Genomic DNA, 20,012 nt, shown 5'->3' with positions numbered 1-20,012 from the left:
TATTTGCACAAAAAAATTATTAGAAGAGCCCCAATCAAATCCACATTTTTTGATACTAAAAAGTATTATATTTCTAATATAAAATGCTGTCTCCTCTGCAGCACTTAAATCTCTGTAATCTATATCCATAACCATGTCTACATCTGTAGATCACAAATACAATTTTAAAGAAAGTGTTGGAGTCAAACGCCAATTCATTTCTTTTGTTTGAGTGTGTTTTCTAGGCTCATTGGAAATAAAATTTTTAAAAACATCTTTAAAAACTTTTTGTTCCTGTTCATAAAATTGAGAATTCATTCTTGCAAAGGATGTTCACATTCTATGTACGTTCTAAACATAGAGATGCCTAAAATGAGGATTGGCTGAACTTTTAAATATAATGAAGGTCTTGCAGTTGAAAATATTCTCCAACCAAATGACTTCAATCTGCTTTGTGCTTCTGAGATCTGGATCTAAGGGAAATTTTTCAAAGATAAGCATGAGACTGAAAGGAAATACAGTCTCCTATTATCTACCTTGAGTTTTAGTGTCACAAACATTTGAAAAGCTTCCCTGGAACATGCGCTGTACAACCTCTTCTCACCAGGGTTGAAAGGAGGCTTCTAACCTCAGCTTTATTATTTCTCAAGACGGCCAGTTAAGTAACACCATCTTTTCAGAAAGATTGAATGGGCCTGAGAGGTACCCTACTAACAAATTGGATAGAAAGAAAGTGGGCCTGGTAACAAGCATCACGTAAAGAACTGGTTCTCAAACTTGGCTGTTCATTGTAATAACTTAGGGAGCTTTAAAAGTACTAGCTGCTCACAAAGTTTGCAAATATTCAGTAATGTTATGGACATTTTTATGAATATGTTTTCAAAATCCCTATCTGTTTATTAAATTCTATTTGATTAATTAATTTGTTAACCTATGTTCCTCGTATGACTCCTTTCTGATCTTGTGGAATAGCATTTTATTTAGTTTACCTAGATCTTGATGCATAGATAGTCCTTGATTATTTAGCATGGATTTCCTCTGCTGTAATATTTCTCAACCCTGCAAATGAGAATTATTTTGGGAGTTTAGGAGGAAAAAAATATACCTGGTCCCCAATTCACAAAAATTCTGAGCTAATTGATCTGGGATTGAACCAGGGTCTCAGTATGTTTTTAAAGTTCTTTGTAGTGGCTGGCCTCCAAGCTGATACCCAAATGAGCCCCAGCTATTGATACTGCACCGTTTTTGGCTCCCCCACTTCCACGTTGTACCAGGGCTCTCCATGCAATCAATAAAGTAGTACAGAAGTGATAATATGATTAACTTGTAAAAGATACTTCAGTGTTCATTTTAATTGTACTCTCTCTTTCTCAGATAATTTGCTTTGAGGAAGCCAATTGCCATGCCATGAGCAGCTCTATGGAGAGGTCCATGTGGTAAGGAACTAAGGCCTCTTGTCACCAGCCTTGTGAGTGAGCTTGCAAGCAGATTCTGGATGATTGCAGCCCTGTTCTACATCTTGGTTGCAACTTCATGAAAGACCTGAGCCAGAATCATCCAGCTAAGCTTCTCCCAGTTTCCTGGCCCTCAGAAATTCTGTGGCAAAACAAATGCCTGTTGTTTTGAGGTGCTAAATTTTAGAGTTCTTTTTTTTTTTTTTTTTTTTTTTTTTTTTTGAAATGGAGTCTTACTTTGTCGCCCAGGCTGGAGTACAATGACAATGGCACAATCTTGGTTCACTGCAACCTCTGCCTTCTGGGTTCAAACGATTCTCCTTTCTCAGCCTCCCGAGTAGCTGGGATTACAGGTGTGTGCCACCACGCCCACCTAGTTTTTTGTATTTTTAGTAGAGGAAGGGTTTCACCATGTTGGCCAGGCTGGTCTTGAACTCCTGACCTCAAGTGATCCACCTGCCTTGGCCTCCCAAAGTGCTGGGATTACAGGCGTGAGCTACCACACCCGGCCTAGAGTAATTTTTTTATACAGCCATAGATAACTAATAGACTCATGTGATCCTAATTAGTAGACAGGTTTAAGCCAGAAAAACTATTGAGGTTTCTAGATAACTTGTTCTTATTGGTACTAATTTAATTCCATTATGATAAGAGAATATACTGCAGACTGTACTAGCCCAGCAAATGGTCTATATGGTTGAAATTACAATGTTCACTGGAAAAGAATGTCTAGTTTGCATTTATTGTGTGTAATATACTGTAAATGTCAATTAGATCATTCTGGTCAATATTCAATATTATTTTTCAGATATTATGTCTTTACTTATTTCTGCCTAGTTGTTTTATCCATTTCTGAGAGAATTTTTAAAATCTCCAACTATGATAATGAATTTATATATTTCTCCCTTTTATTCCATCAATTTTTGCTTCATATGTTTTGAAACTTTTTAGATGCATGAAGATTTATGATTGTTATGTCTTTCTTATTAATTCAACATTTTACCTATGAAATATCCAAATATCACTCTTTGTCTCTGGTAAACTCTGTAGTGTCTACATTATTTTGATTCCTTAGCCTTCTCATGCTTATTATTTGCATGATATGTCTTTTTTCATCCTTTTATTCTCAACTTTCTGTGTCTTTATATTTAAGACATATCTCCAGTTTACAGTTATTATATGGGGGAGAATTTATCTGATCATAACTACTGTACCACTATTGAGCATAAAACCCCCATCTTTTATTTTTATCTTACTTTTATGTTTTTAAGCAGAACTTAAGTTTATTTGGAATATTTCCAGGTTGAATTGTGCTCTTTGTTGTTTTTATTGTCACTCACTCATGATGGCTTGTTTTATACTGCACCACTTATTTTATAATTTTCAATTATATCCTTATACTCAGAATTTTTTTGTTGTTTGTTCATTTTAATGTTTATTTTTAGTTCTGCGGTACATTTGCAGGATGTGTTGGTTTGTTACATAGGTAGACGTGTGCCATAGTGGTTTGCTGCACTTACCAACACATCACCTAGGTATTAAGCCCAGCATGCATTGACTATTTTTCCTAATACTCTCCCTCCCCCCAGACCACCCCCAGCAGGCCCCAGTGTGTGTTGTTCCCCTCCCTGTGTCCAAGTGATCTCATTGTTCAGCTCCCACTTATAAGTGTTTGGTTTTCTGTTCTTGCGTTAGTTTGTTGATGATGATGGTTTCCAGCTTCATTCATGTCCCTGCAAATGACATGATCTCATTCCTTTCTATGGCTAAATAGTATTTCATGGTGTATATGTACCACATTTTCTTTATCCAGTCTATCATTGATGGGCATTTGAGTTGATTCCATGTCTTTGCTATTGTGAATAGTGCTGCAATGAATATATGCATACATGTATCTTTGTACTAGAATGATTTATATTCCTTTGGGTATATACCCAGTAATTGGATTGTTGGGTCAAATAGTATTTTTGGTTGTAGATCTTTGAGGAATTTCCACTTCATCTTCCACAATGGCTGAACTAATTTACATTCACACCAACAGTATAAAAGCGTTCCTATTTCTCCCCAATCTCACCAGCATCTGTTGTTTCTTGACTTTTAATAATGGTCGTTCTGATGGCACGAGATGGTATCTCATTGTGGTTTTGATTTGCGTTTCTCTAACGATCAATGATGTTGAGATTTTTTCATCTTTGTTGGCTGCATGAATGCCTTCTTTTGAGAGGTATCTGTTCATGTCCTTTGCCCACTTTTTAATGGGGTTGTTTATTTTGTTTCTTGTAAATTTGTTTGAGTTCCTTGTAGATCCTGGGTATTAGACCTTTGTCGGATGGATAGATTGCAAAGATTTTCTCCCACTCTGTTGGTTGCCTGTTCACTCTGATGATAGTTTTTGTTTGTTTGTTTGTTTGTTTTTGCTGTGCAGAAACTCTTTAATTTAGTTAGATCTCATTTGTTAATTTTTGCTTCTGTTGCAATCATTTTGGTGATTTCATCATGAAATCTTTGCCCAAGCCTACGTCCTGAATTGTATTGCCTAGATTTTCTTCTAAGGTTTTTATAGTTTTGGGTTTTACATTTAAATCTTTAATTTATCTTGAGTTAATTTTTGTATAAGGTGTGAGGAAGGGGTCCAGTTTCAATTTCCTGCAAATGGATAGCCAGTTCTCTCAGCATCATCTATTAAATAGGGAATCCTTTCCTCATTGCTTGTTTTTGTCAGGTTTGTCAAAGATCAGATGGTTGCAGATGTGCAATCTTATTTCTGAGTTCTCTATTCTGTTTCAGTGGTCTATGTGTCTGTTTTTGTACCAGCATCATGCTGTTTTGGTTACTGTAGACTTATAGAATAGTTTGAAGTCCGTTAGGTGATGCCTCCAGCTTTGTTCTTTCTGCTTAGAATTGTCTTGGCTAGACAGGCTCTTTTTTGGTCCCATATAAATTTTAAAATGATTTTTTAAAATTCTATGAAGAATGTCAATGGTAGTCTAATGGGAATAGCATTGAATCTATAAATTGCTTTGGTCAGTATGGCCATTTTTGTGATAGTGATTTTTCCTGTCCTTGAGCATGCAATACTTTTCTATTTGTTTGTGTCCTCTCTGGTTTCCTTGAACAAAGTTTTGTAGTTCTCCTTGAAGAGATCCTTCACTTCCCTTGTTAACTGTATTCCTAGACATTTTATTCTCTTCGTAGGAATTGTGAATGGGCGTTCATTTGTAATTTGGCTCTCTGCTTGCCTGTTGTTGTATAAGAATGCCTGTGACTTCTGCACATTGATTTTGTATCCTGAGACTATGCTGAAGTTGTTTATCAGCTTAAGAAGCTTTTGAGCTGAGACAATGGGGTTTTCTAGATATAGCATACATCATCTACAAAGGAAGACATTTTGTCTTCCTCCCTTCCTATTTGAATACCCTTTATTTCTTTCTCTTGCCTCATTGCCCTGGTCAGAACTTCCAATACTGTGTTATATAGGAATAGTGACAGAAGGCATCCTCATCTCATGCTGGTTTTCAAGGGGAATGCTTCTTCAATCAGAATTTTTGTATAAAATTGTGGGTGGCCTGTGTTGAGGGTTTGATCCCCAAACATGTTTGCATTTCATTATTCCAAGTTCCTTGGCTTGCTATTATCCTTGAACACTTTAATTTCTTAGTTTCCTGACACCAGAGAAAGGGTCAATTTGAACCATAGATCCATTGAGGACAGGTGTATAATTGCAAGAAAAATTTTCTACTAAAGCCTTTGCTGAAATAGAAGAGTTTTATGTCATCTGCCTTTACAACACATAGCTGTTTTTAAATTCTAATTTTCACTAATAATTTGGTCCTTTGCAACTTTATTCAGGAGTCTCAGTAACAATCTAACTACTTTACGTAGGCCCAACATCTTGTCTATGTCATTGTGTAGCTGCTGAAATCCAATACTTTTGTTATGGAGGTTGGAAATACCAACTATTTGCAAGGCAGCCATAGCTTCAGTATTTGTTTAACAGTCTGTTATTCAACTTTCTTTCTCTTTGTGGCTCTTGGAGACTCCCTTGCTTTCTTGGAAGCTCACTTATAAACTTAAAAGATATTCATTATCCTTATTTCTCGGTGCTTTGCAGATTTTACAAACTATTTTAAATTTGCTTATAAACAAACACTTAAGGAAAATGCCTCTTTACCTCAACATGAACTTCCATTTAAAAAGATGTTCACCTTATGAAATCTAAATGATATTGTACATAAGGAGTACAACTATGTTGCTCTGAAGTTTTAATACTGTACCGTTTTAAGAGGGTGAGCAGTATGCGTGAAGGTTTAGCATAGGAAGTGTCTACAGTGCTGTGTACTTGTTTCCAGCTTTTGATATGAGCAGAAAGTGACTCTTTTTGCCAACTATACCTTCCATAAAATAAAAAAAAAAAAATTGATGATCACAGAAAAGAAAGTAGAGGGGCAAATAATTTGGACAGCTAGCATGGTATTTATTATTTTGGAAGAAGTAAAGGCTTCCATAGAAATTAGTTCATAAAGACTCAGAGCAAAATGACTCTACTTTAATCAGCTGTGTACCTAAGTTCAAGATACCTAAGTTTAAGAACTCATAAATAAGGGCCTGGAAGCAATAAGTGACACACTATGCAAATTTCATGGGATATAACAATGTGGTACAGAGTCTGGAAAAGAATAAAATCGAATAAGAACAATCTACTTTGCCCCTCTATTGAAAAACTGACAATAATTCTTTACTGGGGAAGAATTGTAAGTTAGTCTAAGGACTCCCAAAATAATCTTTAAAATATGCCATCTCTAAATGTATATTACAAACTTGTTATGGTCTAAAAGAATATTTTGAAACATGCTGTCTTAGTCTGCTTTATGTTGCTATAAAAGAATATCTGAAACTGCGTAGTTTATAAAGAAAAGAGGTTTATTTAGCTCACAGTTCTCCAGGCTGAGAAAAACTCAAGGTGTGACCCTGGCTTCTGGCAAGGGCTTTTGTGCTTTGTCACAACATGGTGAAGAAGATCAAAAAGGAAGCAGATATATGTGAAGAGAGGAAAACCTGAGGGGCATCCTGGCTTTATAACAACCCACTCTTGCAGGAACTAATGCATTCCTGCAAGAACTAATCCAGTCTTGTGAGAGCAAGAACCAACTCACTACCTAGAGAACAGCACCAAGCCATTCATGAGGGATCCTCCCCCATGACCCAAACACCTCCCACTAGGCTCTACCTCCCAACACTGCCACATTGGGGATCTAAGGTCAACATAAGTTTTGGTGGAGACATTCAAAACATACCCTAACTATACCACATACTCAACAAATCTTTTTGCCACTTTCTTAAAGTTCTGAGTTTAAGAATTCTCATTAGTTATTTTTCTAGAAGGAAAAACATCCTTGGTTCTCGTGCTTATAGAGGTCAAATCAGACAGAGTCCTTTTTAGAAAATGTTATCTAAGCAAAGCTTATTTCTTTCATGGTGCACAAAGTATCACACATTGCACAGGCAAATGGGGTCCGTTCTTCCAAGGACCCTTGAATACAGTAGCTGTTTAAGCACTTAGTTGGCCATGCTAGCAAGAGTTCAGCTCAATTGTGAAGACACACTAGTCAATTACAACACAGGAAAGGCAGTGTTTTTTGTTACTGTGGTAAACTATGTGTAACATAAAATATACCATTTTAACCATTTTTAAGTGTGGAATTCAATGATATTAAGTACAATCACATTGTTGTGCAACCATCACGACCATCTATCTCCACAACTTTCATCTTCCCAAACTGAAACTCTATACCCATTAAACAATAACTCCACATTCCTCCCTCAGCCCCTGGCAGCCACCATTCTACTTCCTATCTCTATGAATTTGACTACTAGGTACATCATATAAGCGGAATGACACAATATGTGCCTTTTTGTGACTAACTTATTTCACTTAGCTTATGTCTTCAAGGTTCATTTATGTTATACTGTGTGTCAGAATTGTCTTGTTTTTTATTGTGGAAAAAGGCACATACAAAAATTTATCCTCTTAATAATTTTTAAGTGTACATTACAGTATTGTTAACTTTATGTATACTGTTTATTATACAATAGATTTTTAGAACTTTTATAACTTGCATGGCTGAAACTCTGTATCCATTGAACAACTTCCTATTATTCCGTCAACCCCTGGCAACCACCATTCTGCTTTCTGCCTCTATGAGTTTAATTACTTTAGATATTTCATATAAGCGGAATAATGCACTATTTGTTTTGTGTGATTGGCTTGTTTCACTTTGCATAATGTTCTCAAGTTTCATTCAGGTAGCAACATATGACAGGATTTTCTTCTTTCTTGAAATTGAATAATATTAGGCAGTTTGGGGAATCAAAAGAAGGTTAACTCATTTGAGGATGGGCATATGACTACAAGGTTTCTTTCTTATACAGTACCTGCTGAAGATAATTTTTTTCTCCATTTCATCTTTTTCTATATTGCATTTTTCACAAATATGAACTTTTTATTAAAAAGTAAATTATCATAATAATCATTAAATACATTGTAGGCTATGTGTGCAAGGCAACACATTGTCTCATTTAACCCTCACAATCGTACAATGCAGTAGGCATTGCTATTATCATTTCTGTTTTAGAAATGAGGGTATTGTTCAAAGACATTAAGTAACTTTGCTGAGGCCAAGATCCCAAGCTAATGAGATGGGGAGCTGAGATTATTTAATATTTTTCAGGCTGCGCATATCTTAATTTGCTAGATCTGCAGCTGTTCTCCATAAAGAGCATGCTTATTGTTCATATCATGATTTTCTTGGCTATCTTTCTAGCTTTCCCTACCTTACTACCATACTTTGATTTGGGTATTCACAACTCTTCATAAATCTTCCTTCGGCCTTTTAACTCTTTCATTGTCCCTCTCTCTTTCAGTAGTAGAATTATAAAAATATTGCAACACAATTCAGTTTGAGGTACAAGAATTAAATCATAAGAAAAAAAACATAGTCCTATGTGAGAAATGCCCTGTGGAGTTAGTAACAGCTGGTTTAACAAAGAAGCAGCTACACTAAAAAAGGTTTTTAAAGAGTATTTTTAGTTCCTTTGGATTTTCATCTCCTTTTGGAGCTTTAGCATTAGTTGTACTCCATACCATATGTTATGATAGTTTATATTTTGCAGCTGAGTTCCCAACTTCAGACAATTCTAAAAGTTCCTAGAGTCCTCCTTGATGGAAAATGGCAAATAATAAAACCAAAGAAAGGATTCATATCTTCTATGACACCAAAGACCAAGTTCTGATACTCATATACATGGCCTATAGAGAGTCTGATGAGTCAAAGGCCCCCGTGCACTATCTGGTAACAGAGTCCATCCAGAATCATTGACACTTTGTATTACAAAGGATCAAATCAACTACTGAACTATATTAGTCACTAGGATGATCCTAATAGTGAAATTCAGCTGTCCTTTGAAATCATTCCTAATTATTATTACTATCTTCATTTGTTGCAATATATGATTTCATTTAATATGCCTAAAAACTTTGTGAACTTAGAATGCCCATTTTATATATTAGCAAATTGAGTCTCAGAGCGATAAAGTATCTTACAGAAGCTTACAAAGCTTCTACATAGCAGAGCTGGGATTTAAAACCAATGCTTTCTTATTCCAAAACTTTTTATCCTAACTTCACAGTCTACATAACTAAGCTATCTTTTATAATGCTTCTGGAAGTTTCTTTATATTCAAATTAAGACATGAGGAAAAGAAGATACTTCTTGGTGCCAGAGACTTCCTGTTTCTCCCCAATATTCATTTTTCTCTTATTCTCTGTTAATAAATTCCTAATTTTTAGCTGGACATATTGATGTCCTGCCATAAAACCATATTTCACAGATTTCATTGGTGATAAATGTGGCATTGCAATTAAGTTCTCTCTAATAAGATTTAAATAGATGTTATGAGTTACTTCTGGGAAGTCCTCTTAAAAGATAGAGGATACAACTCTTTTCTTCCTTCCTCATTACATTTTTATTTTTAAGGAGTGAAGAAAATACCTAGAACATTGGCAGCCATATTTGTCTCTAAAAATGGGTTTCTTGCTATAGGGATGATGGGGCAGTGAGCTGGAAGGAACCTTCCTGATAACACCAAGGAAACACCGTAATAACCATGGACTGCTTAACCTATACTTCTTTTTATACAAAAAGAAATACATTTCTCTCTTTAAGCTGTTTGTATTTATTTCAATTATTGCCATTAAATCTACTCTTAATTAATACATTCTTATCTACCTAAAATATTTCATATCTACAGGTTGCAGGGTAAAACTTAAATACCTATCTTGCAATCATGCAGACAAAAGCAGCATACTAAGGATTACAAAACAGTCAGGTATAAAATACCTGGGTCTTTGAGGACATTATTGAGATACTAAGTTAACTATTTCTAGAGTTACCCTACTTTGGAATTGATTATGTGAGGTAATAAATCTTCTCTTTTTTAAAAACCAGTAAGATAGGGCAGTCTGTAATTTGTAGAAGAATGGATTCTCTATGCTACATTACTACACCCATAGAATAAAATCCGAACTTCTTACTCATATCTACATACCTTCTATGAACTGGCTCCTGCCTATCTTTCAAATGTCACTTGCCCATGATGAGCACACTTATCTTGTCTGTTGTTTTCTGTATTTCCAGCATCTAGAACAGTGCTTGACACGTAGCAGTTGCTCAGTAAATATTTGTTGAGTGTGTTAGTGAAGGAATAGTGTCTCCTAGAAGTGAATATTTTGCTGTTTCCTTTGACTAGCCTCAATCACTCTGCTCTTTCTTCCCATATAAACCCTTAAATTTGAAAGTATCAATTCTAAATTTTTATCAAAATTGTTCATTATTTCTGTACTCTCTAGCACTCTCTCTTCTCTCCTCTGTCCCTTCAATTTTCCCATCATTCTTAAATACAGACAGTGATCATATCAATCTAGTGAGCTTGGGACATTAATAGGCAGCTGGTGGAGTTAGATGAGAGCTATTTTAAATGTTCCTTAGACCTATAATTAAAACTCTATGTCACAAATCCTTTATCTTTACAAATCCAGAAAAATAAAATTCAAAACTTCAGAGAATTCCTTCTTTTAAGCTAAAAATATGTTCCCATCTGTGTGAAACTGAAAAGCAATCAGTGCCTCCAGCTGTAAAAATAGAGATAGTCCCTTTACTATTGGTCTTCACAGCCTGGTAAAGTGGGGGACAAGAATATTCCTTCCCAGACACTATTATATGACTCGAGTGCCTCATTTTTGCTTGAATGTTATTACAAAACTGTTTCATTTATTTTAGAAGCTCTGATAAGAAAATCAAGCCCCACACATGTTTCTGTAAGCCATAGTTATCACTACTAAGACAGCATTTCTTCATTCTCTAGAGCTAAGAACTACCAATGTAATGAAGAAATGCTTCTGCCCTCTACCACCCTCAATGTCTTTGGGTAGCTGAGCCTACTACTCCCTAACCCTAGTCCACAGACGTTGTGCAATTATGGGTAAATTGTATTAAAACACCCCAAAAATAATGATGCCATGTGGATACAGAAAATTTTCATATTAATGCCCGTGTCCTCCTTTGTCAGAGAACTGCTTTGCAAATAATATGTATTGAAAGGCTACATAAGCCCTTTGCAGTCATTATCTCCCATACAATTACAGTTTTTAAAAAGATGGACATTTTTATTCTCTCCATCTTACAAAATTATTATTAATAATTGTACATTTTTTTCTGTTTTTCTCTCCAGATCTACATTCCACCCTTCTCCTTCCCATTCCATATCTTGGGAAGCTGATGTCTATAGACTGCATTAATGAACTTCCATACCATCTGACTTCCAGTTAAGTTTGGCCAAAAGGAGTCATTGGAATGAGATCAGAGGGTAGGAAGAAAGAGAAGTTGGATAATTTTTCCTCTCACTCATCCTTGTCAGGTCTAAAGGGGTTCTTGTTCTCTCTCTCCCATTGCACTAAAGGTAGTAGCAGTTTCCCTAGGTTGCTAATCTCAGGAGTTTTATATTCCTTGTTGATTTTCCTTAACCCTCCTATAATTTTAAAAATAATCTCTTCCCGAAACTCCCCTTTGCCATCTGTCTCCTGTTAGGATATGACTGGTAGACCAATCCAGGGTCTCAATGGGAAGTGGTTAGTGACAGAGCTAGGCCGATATTCCAACCTGTGAGCTTATTCATAAGATACAACTTTTTTTTTCATTTTCCTTTTTTTTCTCTACTGGGTGACCACATTTTGTGCCATTATGCAAAGAGTTTAATGCTACCCTTTCTTAGTATATTGCCTACCTCAGGAGCTCAGCAATGATTGTGTCATGCTCATCACAATGTGTTGCTCCAATAGCAGCCAAACAGTCACACCCCTTCCATATGTCTGCTAATACTTTGACCATCTGTAGAGCCATGCATGGTGTAGGACACAAGTAATAGACTTGGCTTCTGAGGGCTCACATTCTGGTTCTAGACCTATCATTTTCCAGCTGTAAGTCACTGAGACTCTGAGACTCAGAATCCATACAATGGGGATAATCTTGCTAAGTCCTGCCTAACTTTTTAAAAAATAATTTCAACTTTTATTTTAGATTCAGAGGGTACATGCACAGGTCTGTCACATGGGAACACTGCATGATGCTGAGGTTTGAGGTATGGATGATCCTGTCACTCAAGGCAGTGAGCACAGCACCCAATTGGCAGTCCCCCAGTCCTTAAGCCCTCCCTCCCTTTCTCCCTTCCTCCTTCAGCAGTCCTTATTGTTCATTGCTCCCATCTTTATGTGTGTGTGTATTCAATGTTTAGCTTCCACTTATAAGTGATAACATGCAGTATTTTGTTTTCAGTGCTTGCATTAATTTGCTTAGGATAATGGCCTCCAGCTTCATCCATGTTGCTGCAAAGGACATGTTTTTGGTCTTTTAGTATTCCATGGTATATATGTGCCACATTTACTTTATCCAGTCCATCGCTGATGGGCACCTAGGTTGATTCCATGTCTTTGTTATTGTGAATAGTGCTGAGATGAACATATGGGTGCATGTGTCTCTTTGGTAGAATGATTTATTTTGCTTTGGGTATATACTTAGTAATGGGATTGTTGGGTCAAATGGTAGTTCTGTTTCAAGTTCCTTGAGAAATCTCCAAACCACTTTCTACAGTAGCTGAAGTAATTTACATTCCCACCAACAGTGTATACGTCCTGCCTAACTTATAGAAATATTATGAGTTGAAACTTCTGTCACAAATGTGAGGTTCAAAGGGAACAATGAATGATCTAAGTATACAGTCAATTCTGACTGCAGAATTCCGGAGTGCAGACCACTTTCTTTGTTTACCAAAGCAATCTTTGGTTCTAGAATGAAAGCTTTTTAAAAATTTGGTATATAATATACATATTTATGGGATACATGTTATATTTTGATACATGTGTACAATGTGTAATAATCAAATGAGGGTAACTGGGATATCCATCAGCTCAAGAATTTATTATTTTTTTATGTTGAGCACATTCCAATTCTTTTCTTCTAACCATTTTGAAATATGCAATGAATTATTTTTAACTGTAGTCTCCATACTATACTGTCAAATAATAAATCATATTTCTTCTATATAATAATATGTTTGTACCCATTAAGCAACTTTTCTTTTTTTTGTTGTTTTTTTTTATTATTATTATACTTTAAGTTTTAGGGTACATGTGCACAATGTGCAGGTTAGTTACATATGTATACATGTGCCATGCTGGTGTGCTGCACCCACTAACTCGTCATCTAGCATTAGGTATATCTCCCAATGCTATCCCTCCCCCCTCCCCCCACCCGACAACAGTCCCCAGAGTGTGATGTTCCCCTTTCTGTGTCCATGTGTTCTCATTGTTCAATTCCCACCTATGAGTGAGAATATGCAGTGTTTGGTTTTTGGTTCTTGTGATAGTTTACTGAGAATGATGATTTCCAACTTCATCCATGTCCCTACAAAGGACATGAACTCATCATTTTTTATGGCTGCATAGTATTCCGTGGTGTATACGTGCCACATTTTCTTAATCCAGTCTATCATTGTTGGACATTTGGGTTGGTTCCAAGTCTTTACTATTGTGAATAATGCCGCAATAAACATACGTGTGCATGTGTCTTTATAGCAGCATTATTTATAGTCCTTTGGGTATATACCCAGTAATGGGATGGTTGGGTCAAATGGTATTTCTAGTTCTAGATCCCTGAGGAATCGCCACACTGACTTCCACAATGGTTGAACTAGTTTACAGTCCCACCAACTGTGTAAAAGTGTTCCCATTTCTCCACATCCTCTCCAGCACCTGTTGTTTCCTGACTTTTTAATGATTGCCTTTCTAACTGGTGTGAAATGGTATCTCATTGTGGTTTTGATTTGCATTTCTCTGATGGCCAGTGATGATGAGCATTTTTTCATGTGTTTTTTTGACTGCATAAATGTCTTCTTTTGAGAAATGTCTGTTCATGTCCTTTGCCCACTTTTTGATGGGGTTGTTTTTTTCTTGTAAATTTGTTTGAGTTCATTGTAAATTCTGGATATTAGCCCTTTGTCAGATGAGTAGGTTGCGAAAATTTTCTCCCATTTTGTAGGCTGCCTGTTCACTCTGATGGTAGTTTCTTTTGCTGTGCAGAAGCTCTTTAGTTTAATTAGGTCCCATTTGTCAATTTTGGCTTTTGTTGCCATTGCTTTTGGTGTTTTAGACATGAAGTCCTTGCCCATGCCTATGTCCTGAATGGTAATGCCTAGGTTTTCTTCTAGGGTTTTTATGGTTTTAGGTCTAACGTTTAAGTCTTTAATCCATCTTGAATTGATTTTTGTATAAGGTGTAAGGAAGGGATCCAGTTTCAGCTTTCTACGTATGGCTAGGCAGTTTTCCCAGCACCATTTATTAAATAGGGAATCCTTTCCCCATTGCTTGTTTTTCTCAGGTTTGTCAAAGATCAGATAGTTGTAGGTATGTGGCGTTATTTCTGAGGGCTCTGTTCTGTTCCATTGATCTATATCTCTGTTTTGATACCAGTACCATGCTGTTTTGGTTACTGTAGCCTTGTAGTATAGTTTGAAGTCAGGTAGTGTGATGCCTCCAGCTTTGTTCTTTTGGCTCAGGATTGACTTGGCGATGCGGGCTCTTTTTTGGTTCCATATGAACTTTAAAGTAGTTTTTTCCAATTCTGTGAAGAAAGTCATTGGTAGCTTGATGGGGATGGCATTGAATCTATAAATTACCTTGGGCAGTATGGCCATTTTCACGATATTGATTCTTCCTATCCATAAGCATGGAATGTTCTTCCATTTGTTTGTATCCTCTTTTATTTCCTTGTGCAGTGGTTTGTAGTTCTCCTTGAAGAGGTCCTTCACATCCCTTGTAAGTTGGATTCCTAGGCATTTTATTCTCTTTGAAGCAATTGTGAATGGGAGTTCTCTCATGATTTGGCTGTCTGTCTGTGGTTGGTGTATAAGAATGCTTGTGATTTTTGTACATTGATTTTGTATCCTGAGACTTTGCTGAGGTTGCTTTTCAGCTTAAGGAGATTTTGGGCTGAGACAGTGGGGTTTTCTAGATATACAATCATGTCGTCTGCAAACAGGGACAATTTGACTTCCTCTTTTCCTAATTGAATACCCTTGATTTCCTTCTCCTGCCTAATTGCCCTGGCCAGAACTTCCAACACTATGTTGAATAGGAGTGGTGAGAGAGGGCATCCCTGTCTTGTGCCAGTTTTCAAAGGGAATGCTTCCAGTTTTTGCCCATTCAGTATGATATTGGCTGTGGGTTTGTCATAAATAGCTCTTATTATTTTGAGATACATCCCATCAATACCTAATTTATTGAGAGTTTCTAGCATGAAGGGTTGTTGAATTTTGTCAAACGCCTTTTCTGCGTCTATTGAGATAATCATGTGGTGTTTGTCTTTGGTTCTGTTTATATGCCAGATTACATTTATTGATTTGCATATATTGAACCAGCCTTGCATCCCAGAGATGAAGCCCACTTGATCATGGTGGATAAGCTTTTTGATGTGCTGCTGGATTCGGTTTGCCAGTATTTTACTGAGGATTTTTGCATCAATGTTCATCAAGGATATTGGTCTAAAATTCTCTTTTTTGGTTGTGTCTCTGCCCGGCTTTGGTATCAGGATGATGCTGGCCTCATAAAATGAGTTAGGGAGGATTCCCTCTTTTTCTATTGATTGGAATAGTTTCAGAAGGAATGGTACCAGTTCTTCCTTGTACCTCTGGTAGAATTCGGCTGTGAATCCATCTGGTCCTGGACTCTTTTTCATTGGTAAGCTATTGATTATTGCCACAATTTCAGCTCCTGTTATTGGTCTATTCAGAGATTCAACTTCTTCCTGGTTTAGTCTTGGGAGAGTGTAAGTGTCGAGGAATTCATCCATTTCTTCTAGATTTTCTAGTTTATTTGCATAGAGGTGTTTGTAGTATTCTCTGACGGTAGTTTGTATTTCTGTGGGATCGGTGGTGATATCCCCTTTATCATTTTTTATTGTGTCTATTTGATTCTTCTCTCTTTTCTTCTTTATTAGTCTTGCTAGTGGTCTATCAATTTTGTTGATCCTTTCAAAAAATGAGCTCCTGGATTTGTTAATTTTTTGAAGGGTTTTTTTGTGTCTCTATTTCCTTCAGTTCTGCTCTGATTTTAGTTATTTCTTGCCTTCTGCTAGCTTTTGAATGTGTTTGCTCTTGATTCTCTAGTTCTTTTAATTGTGATGTTAGGGTGTCAATTTTGGATCTTTCCTGCTTTCTCTTGTGGGCATTTAGTGCTATAAATTTCCCTCTACACACTGCTTTGAATGCATCCCAGAGATTCTGGTATGTTGTGTCTTTGTTCTCGTTGGTTTCAAAGAACATCTTTATTTCTGCCTTCATTTTGTTATGTACCCAGTAGTCATTCAGGAGCAGGTTGTTCAGTTTCCATGCAGTTGAGCGGTTTTGAGTGAGATTCTTAATCCTGAGTTCTAGTTTGATTGCACTGTGGTCTAAGAGATAGTTATAATTTCTGTTCTTTTACATTTGCTGAGGAGAGCTTTACTTCCAAGTATGTGGTCAATTTTGGAATAGGTGTGGTGTAGTGCTGTAAAAAATGTATATTCTGTTGATTTGGGGTGGAGAGTTCTGTAGATGTCTATTAGGTCTGCTTCTTGCAGAGCTGAGTTCAATTCCTGGGTATCCTTGTTAACTTTCTGTCTCATTGATCTGTCTAATATTGACAGTGGGGTGTTAAAGTCTCCCATTATTAATGTGTGGGAGTCTAAGTCTCTGTGTAGGTCACTCAGGACTTGCTTTATGAATCTGGGTGCTCCTGTATTGGGTGCATATATATTTAGGATAGTTAGCTCTTCTTGTTGAATTGATCCCTTTACCATGAAGTAATGGCCTTCTTTGTCTCTTTTGATATTTGTTGGTTTAAAGTCTGTTTTATCAGAGACTAGGATTGCAACCCCTGCCTTTTTTTGTTTTCCATTTGCTTGGTAGATCTTCCTCCATCCTTTTATTTTGAGCCTATGTGTGTCTCTGCATGTGAGATGGGTTTCCTGAATACAGCACACTGATGGGTCTTGACTCTTTATCCAATTTGCCAGTCTGTGTCTTTTAATTGGAGCATTTAGTCCATTGACATTTAAAGTTAATATCATTATGTGTGAATTTGATCCTGTCATTATGATGTTAGCTGGTTATTTTGCTCGTTAGTTGATGCAGTTTCTTCCTAGTCTCGATGGTCTTTACATTTTGGCATGATTTTGCAGCGGCTGGTACTGGTTGTTCCTTTCCATGTTTAGTGCTTCCTTCAGGAGCACTTTTAGGGCAGGCCTGGTGCTGACAAAATCTCTCAGCATTTGCTTGTCTGTAAAGTATTTTATTTCTCCTTCACTTATGAAGCTTAGTTTGGCTGGATATGAAATTTTGGGTTGAAAATTCTTTTCTTTAAGAATGTTGAATGTTGGCCCCCACTCTCTTCTGGCTTGTAGAGTTTCTGCCGAGAGATCTGCTGTTAGTCTGATGGGCTTCCCTTTGAGGGTAACCTGACGTTTCTCTCTGGCTGCCCTTAACATTTTTTCCTTCATTTCAAGTTTGGTGAATCTGACAATTATGTGTCTTGGTGTTGCTCTTCTCGAGGAGTATCTTTGTGGCATTCTCTGTATTTCCTGAATGTGAATGTTGGGCTGCCTTGCTAGATTGGGGAAGTTCTCCTGGATAATATCCTGCAGAGTGTTTTCCAACTTGGTTCCATTCTCCCCGTCACTTTCAGGTACACCAATCAGACATAGATTTGGTCTTTTCACATAGTCCCATGTTTCTTGGAGGCTTTGCTCATTTCTTTTTATTCTTTTTTCTCTAAACTTCCCTTCTCGCTTCATTTCATTCATTTCATCTTCCATCGCTGATACCGTTTCTTCCAGTTGATCGCATCGGCTCCTGAGGCTTCTGCATTCTTCACGTAGTTCTCGAGCCTTGGTTTTCAGCTCCATCAGCTCCTTTCAGCACTTTTCTGTATTGGTTATTCTAGTTATACATTCTTCTAAATTTTTTTCAAAGTTTTCAACTTCTTTGCCTTTGGTTTGAATGTCCTCCCGTAGCTCGGTGTAATTTGATCTTCTGAAGCCTTTTTCTCTCAGCTCGTCAAAGTCATTCTCCGTCCAGCTTTGTTCTGTTGCTGGTGAGGAACTGCGTTCCTTTGGAGGAGGAGAGGCGCTCTGCTTTTTAGAGTTTCCAGTTTTTCTGCTCTGTTTTTTCCCCACCTTTGTGGTTTTATCTACTTTTGGTCTTTGATGATGGTGATGTACAGATGGTTTTCTGGTGTGGATGTCCTTTCTGTTTGTTAGTTTTCCTTCTAATAGACAGGACCCTCAGCTGCAGGTCTGTTGGAGTACCCTGCAGTGTGAGGTGTCAGTGTGCCCCTGCTGGAGGGTGCCTCCCAGTTAGGCTGCTTGGAGGTCAGGGGTCAGGGACCCACTTGAGGAGGCAGTCTGCCTGTTCTCAGATCTCCAGCTGCATGCTGGGAGAACCACTGCTCTCTTCAAAGCTGTCAGACAGGGACATTTAAGTCTGCAGAGGTTACTGCTGTCTTTTGGTTTGTCTGTGCCCTGCCCCCAGAGGTGGAGCCTACAGAGGCAGGCAGGCCTCCTTGAGCTGTGGTGGGCTCCACCCAGCTTGAGCTTCCTGGCTGCTTTGTTTACCTAAGCAAGCCTGGGCAATGGTGGGCACCCCTCCCCCAGGCTCGCTGCCGCCTGCAGTTTGATCTCAGACTGCTGTGCTAGCAATCAGCAAGACTCGGTGGGCATAGGACCCTCTGAGCCAGGTGTGGGATGTAATCTCGTGGTGCGCCGTTTTTTAAGCCCGTCGGAAAAGCGCAGTATTCGGGTGGGAGTGACCCGATTTTCCAGGTGCCGTCTGTCACCACTTTCTTTGAGTAGGAAAGGGAACTCCCTGACCCCTTGCGCTTCCCGAGTGAGGCAGTGCCTCGCCCTGCTTCGGCTCGCGCACGGTGCGCGCACCCACTGACCTGCGCCCACTGTCTGGCACTCCCTAGTGAGATGAACCGGGTACCTCAGATGGAAATGCAGAAATCACCCATCTTCTGCGTTGCTCACGCTGGGAGCTGTAGACCAGAGCTGTTCCTATTCGGCCATCTTGGCTCCTCCCCCAAGCAACTTTTCTTTATCTCCTCTTCCCCCCATTCTTCTCAACCAGAAATAACTAGCATTCTACTCTCTACCTCCATGAGATCCACTTTTTTAGCTCCCATTTATAAGTGAGAATGTGCCTTCATGGCATAATCAGGATGGGCAAACAGCAAGAAAGAGAGAATTAAATTGTGGTACATAATGAAATATGAAGAATTTTAATCCTCCCTGGAAAGCCTGAGTATATGAGAAGATAGTATGGGGAGAAGAGAGCAGGTAGAGGGAGAAGAAGCCAAACAACATGGTAATGGGCCCCAGCTCTCCTTGGAGTAGCAGCCCAGATGAAGTCTTCAGGGACAGGGAGAGTGGAGGGACTCCAAGTGTTTAATATTTCTTTCAATCATTTGTGTTCTGTGATGTAAATGGCCTGATGCCCAGAACTTCACGAAAATATCATGTGATACTTTGGAAATTGAAAGAATTTGGGTGGTATCCACTGGTATAGTCTGATCTGGAAAAGAACATGCCTGGTGGGATACATACAGAGCTGCCGTTGCATGGAAAGAGAGGATTGGAACCTTATGGGACATTGACTGATCTAATACAAGGTGTGAAGGGGTAGAGAGATAGAGTCTATAACTCCCAACTGCTTTTTAATAAACAAATAGTGAAATCAGACATCAGACCATCTCCCCTACATGGAGATCTATATTTTAGGCACTTCAAACCCTTACCATGTACCTGTTTGCATTTCTGAATCTCTTAGAAGGAATTTTGTTTTCCATGTGTTTATAAACCTGTAAAAATAAGCAAACATCTATTTTGAATGTCCTCAGCAAAAGGCAGCATTCAGATTATGTATATTTCCTTTTATTCC

At 37.8% G+C, this 20,012-nt stretch overlaps 1 annotated feature.

Annotated features, from left to right (window-relative positions):
- Positions 18,288-18,916: an enhancer, noted in NCBI's record as "H3K27ac-H3K4me1 hESC enhancer chr10:92010611-92011239 (GRCh37/hg19 assembly coordinates)". NCBI's record gives its function as "activates a minimal SCP1, AML or CMV promoter by ChIP-STARR-seq in primed H9 embryonic stem cells {active_cell/tissue: H9 hESC(primed)}" and the evidence as "EXISTENCE:reporter gene assay evidence [ECO:0000049][PMID:30033119]".

This window comes from Homo sapiens, chromosome 10 (genome assembly GCF_000001405.40).
Source record: "Homo sapiens chromosome 10, GRCh38.p14 Primary Assembly".
In the NCBI taxonomy this organism is placed as follows: Eukaryota; Metazoa; Chordata; class Mammalia; order Primates; family Hominidae; genus Homo; species Homo sapiens.
The sequence above is the reverse complement of the archived record's forward strand: the minus strand, read 5'-3'. Positions and strand labels throughout refer to the sequence as shown.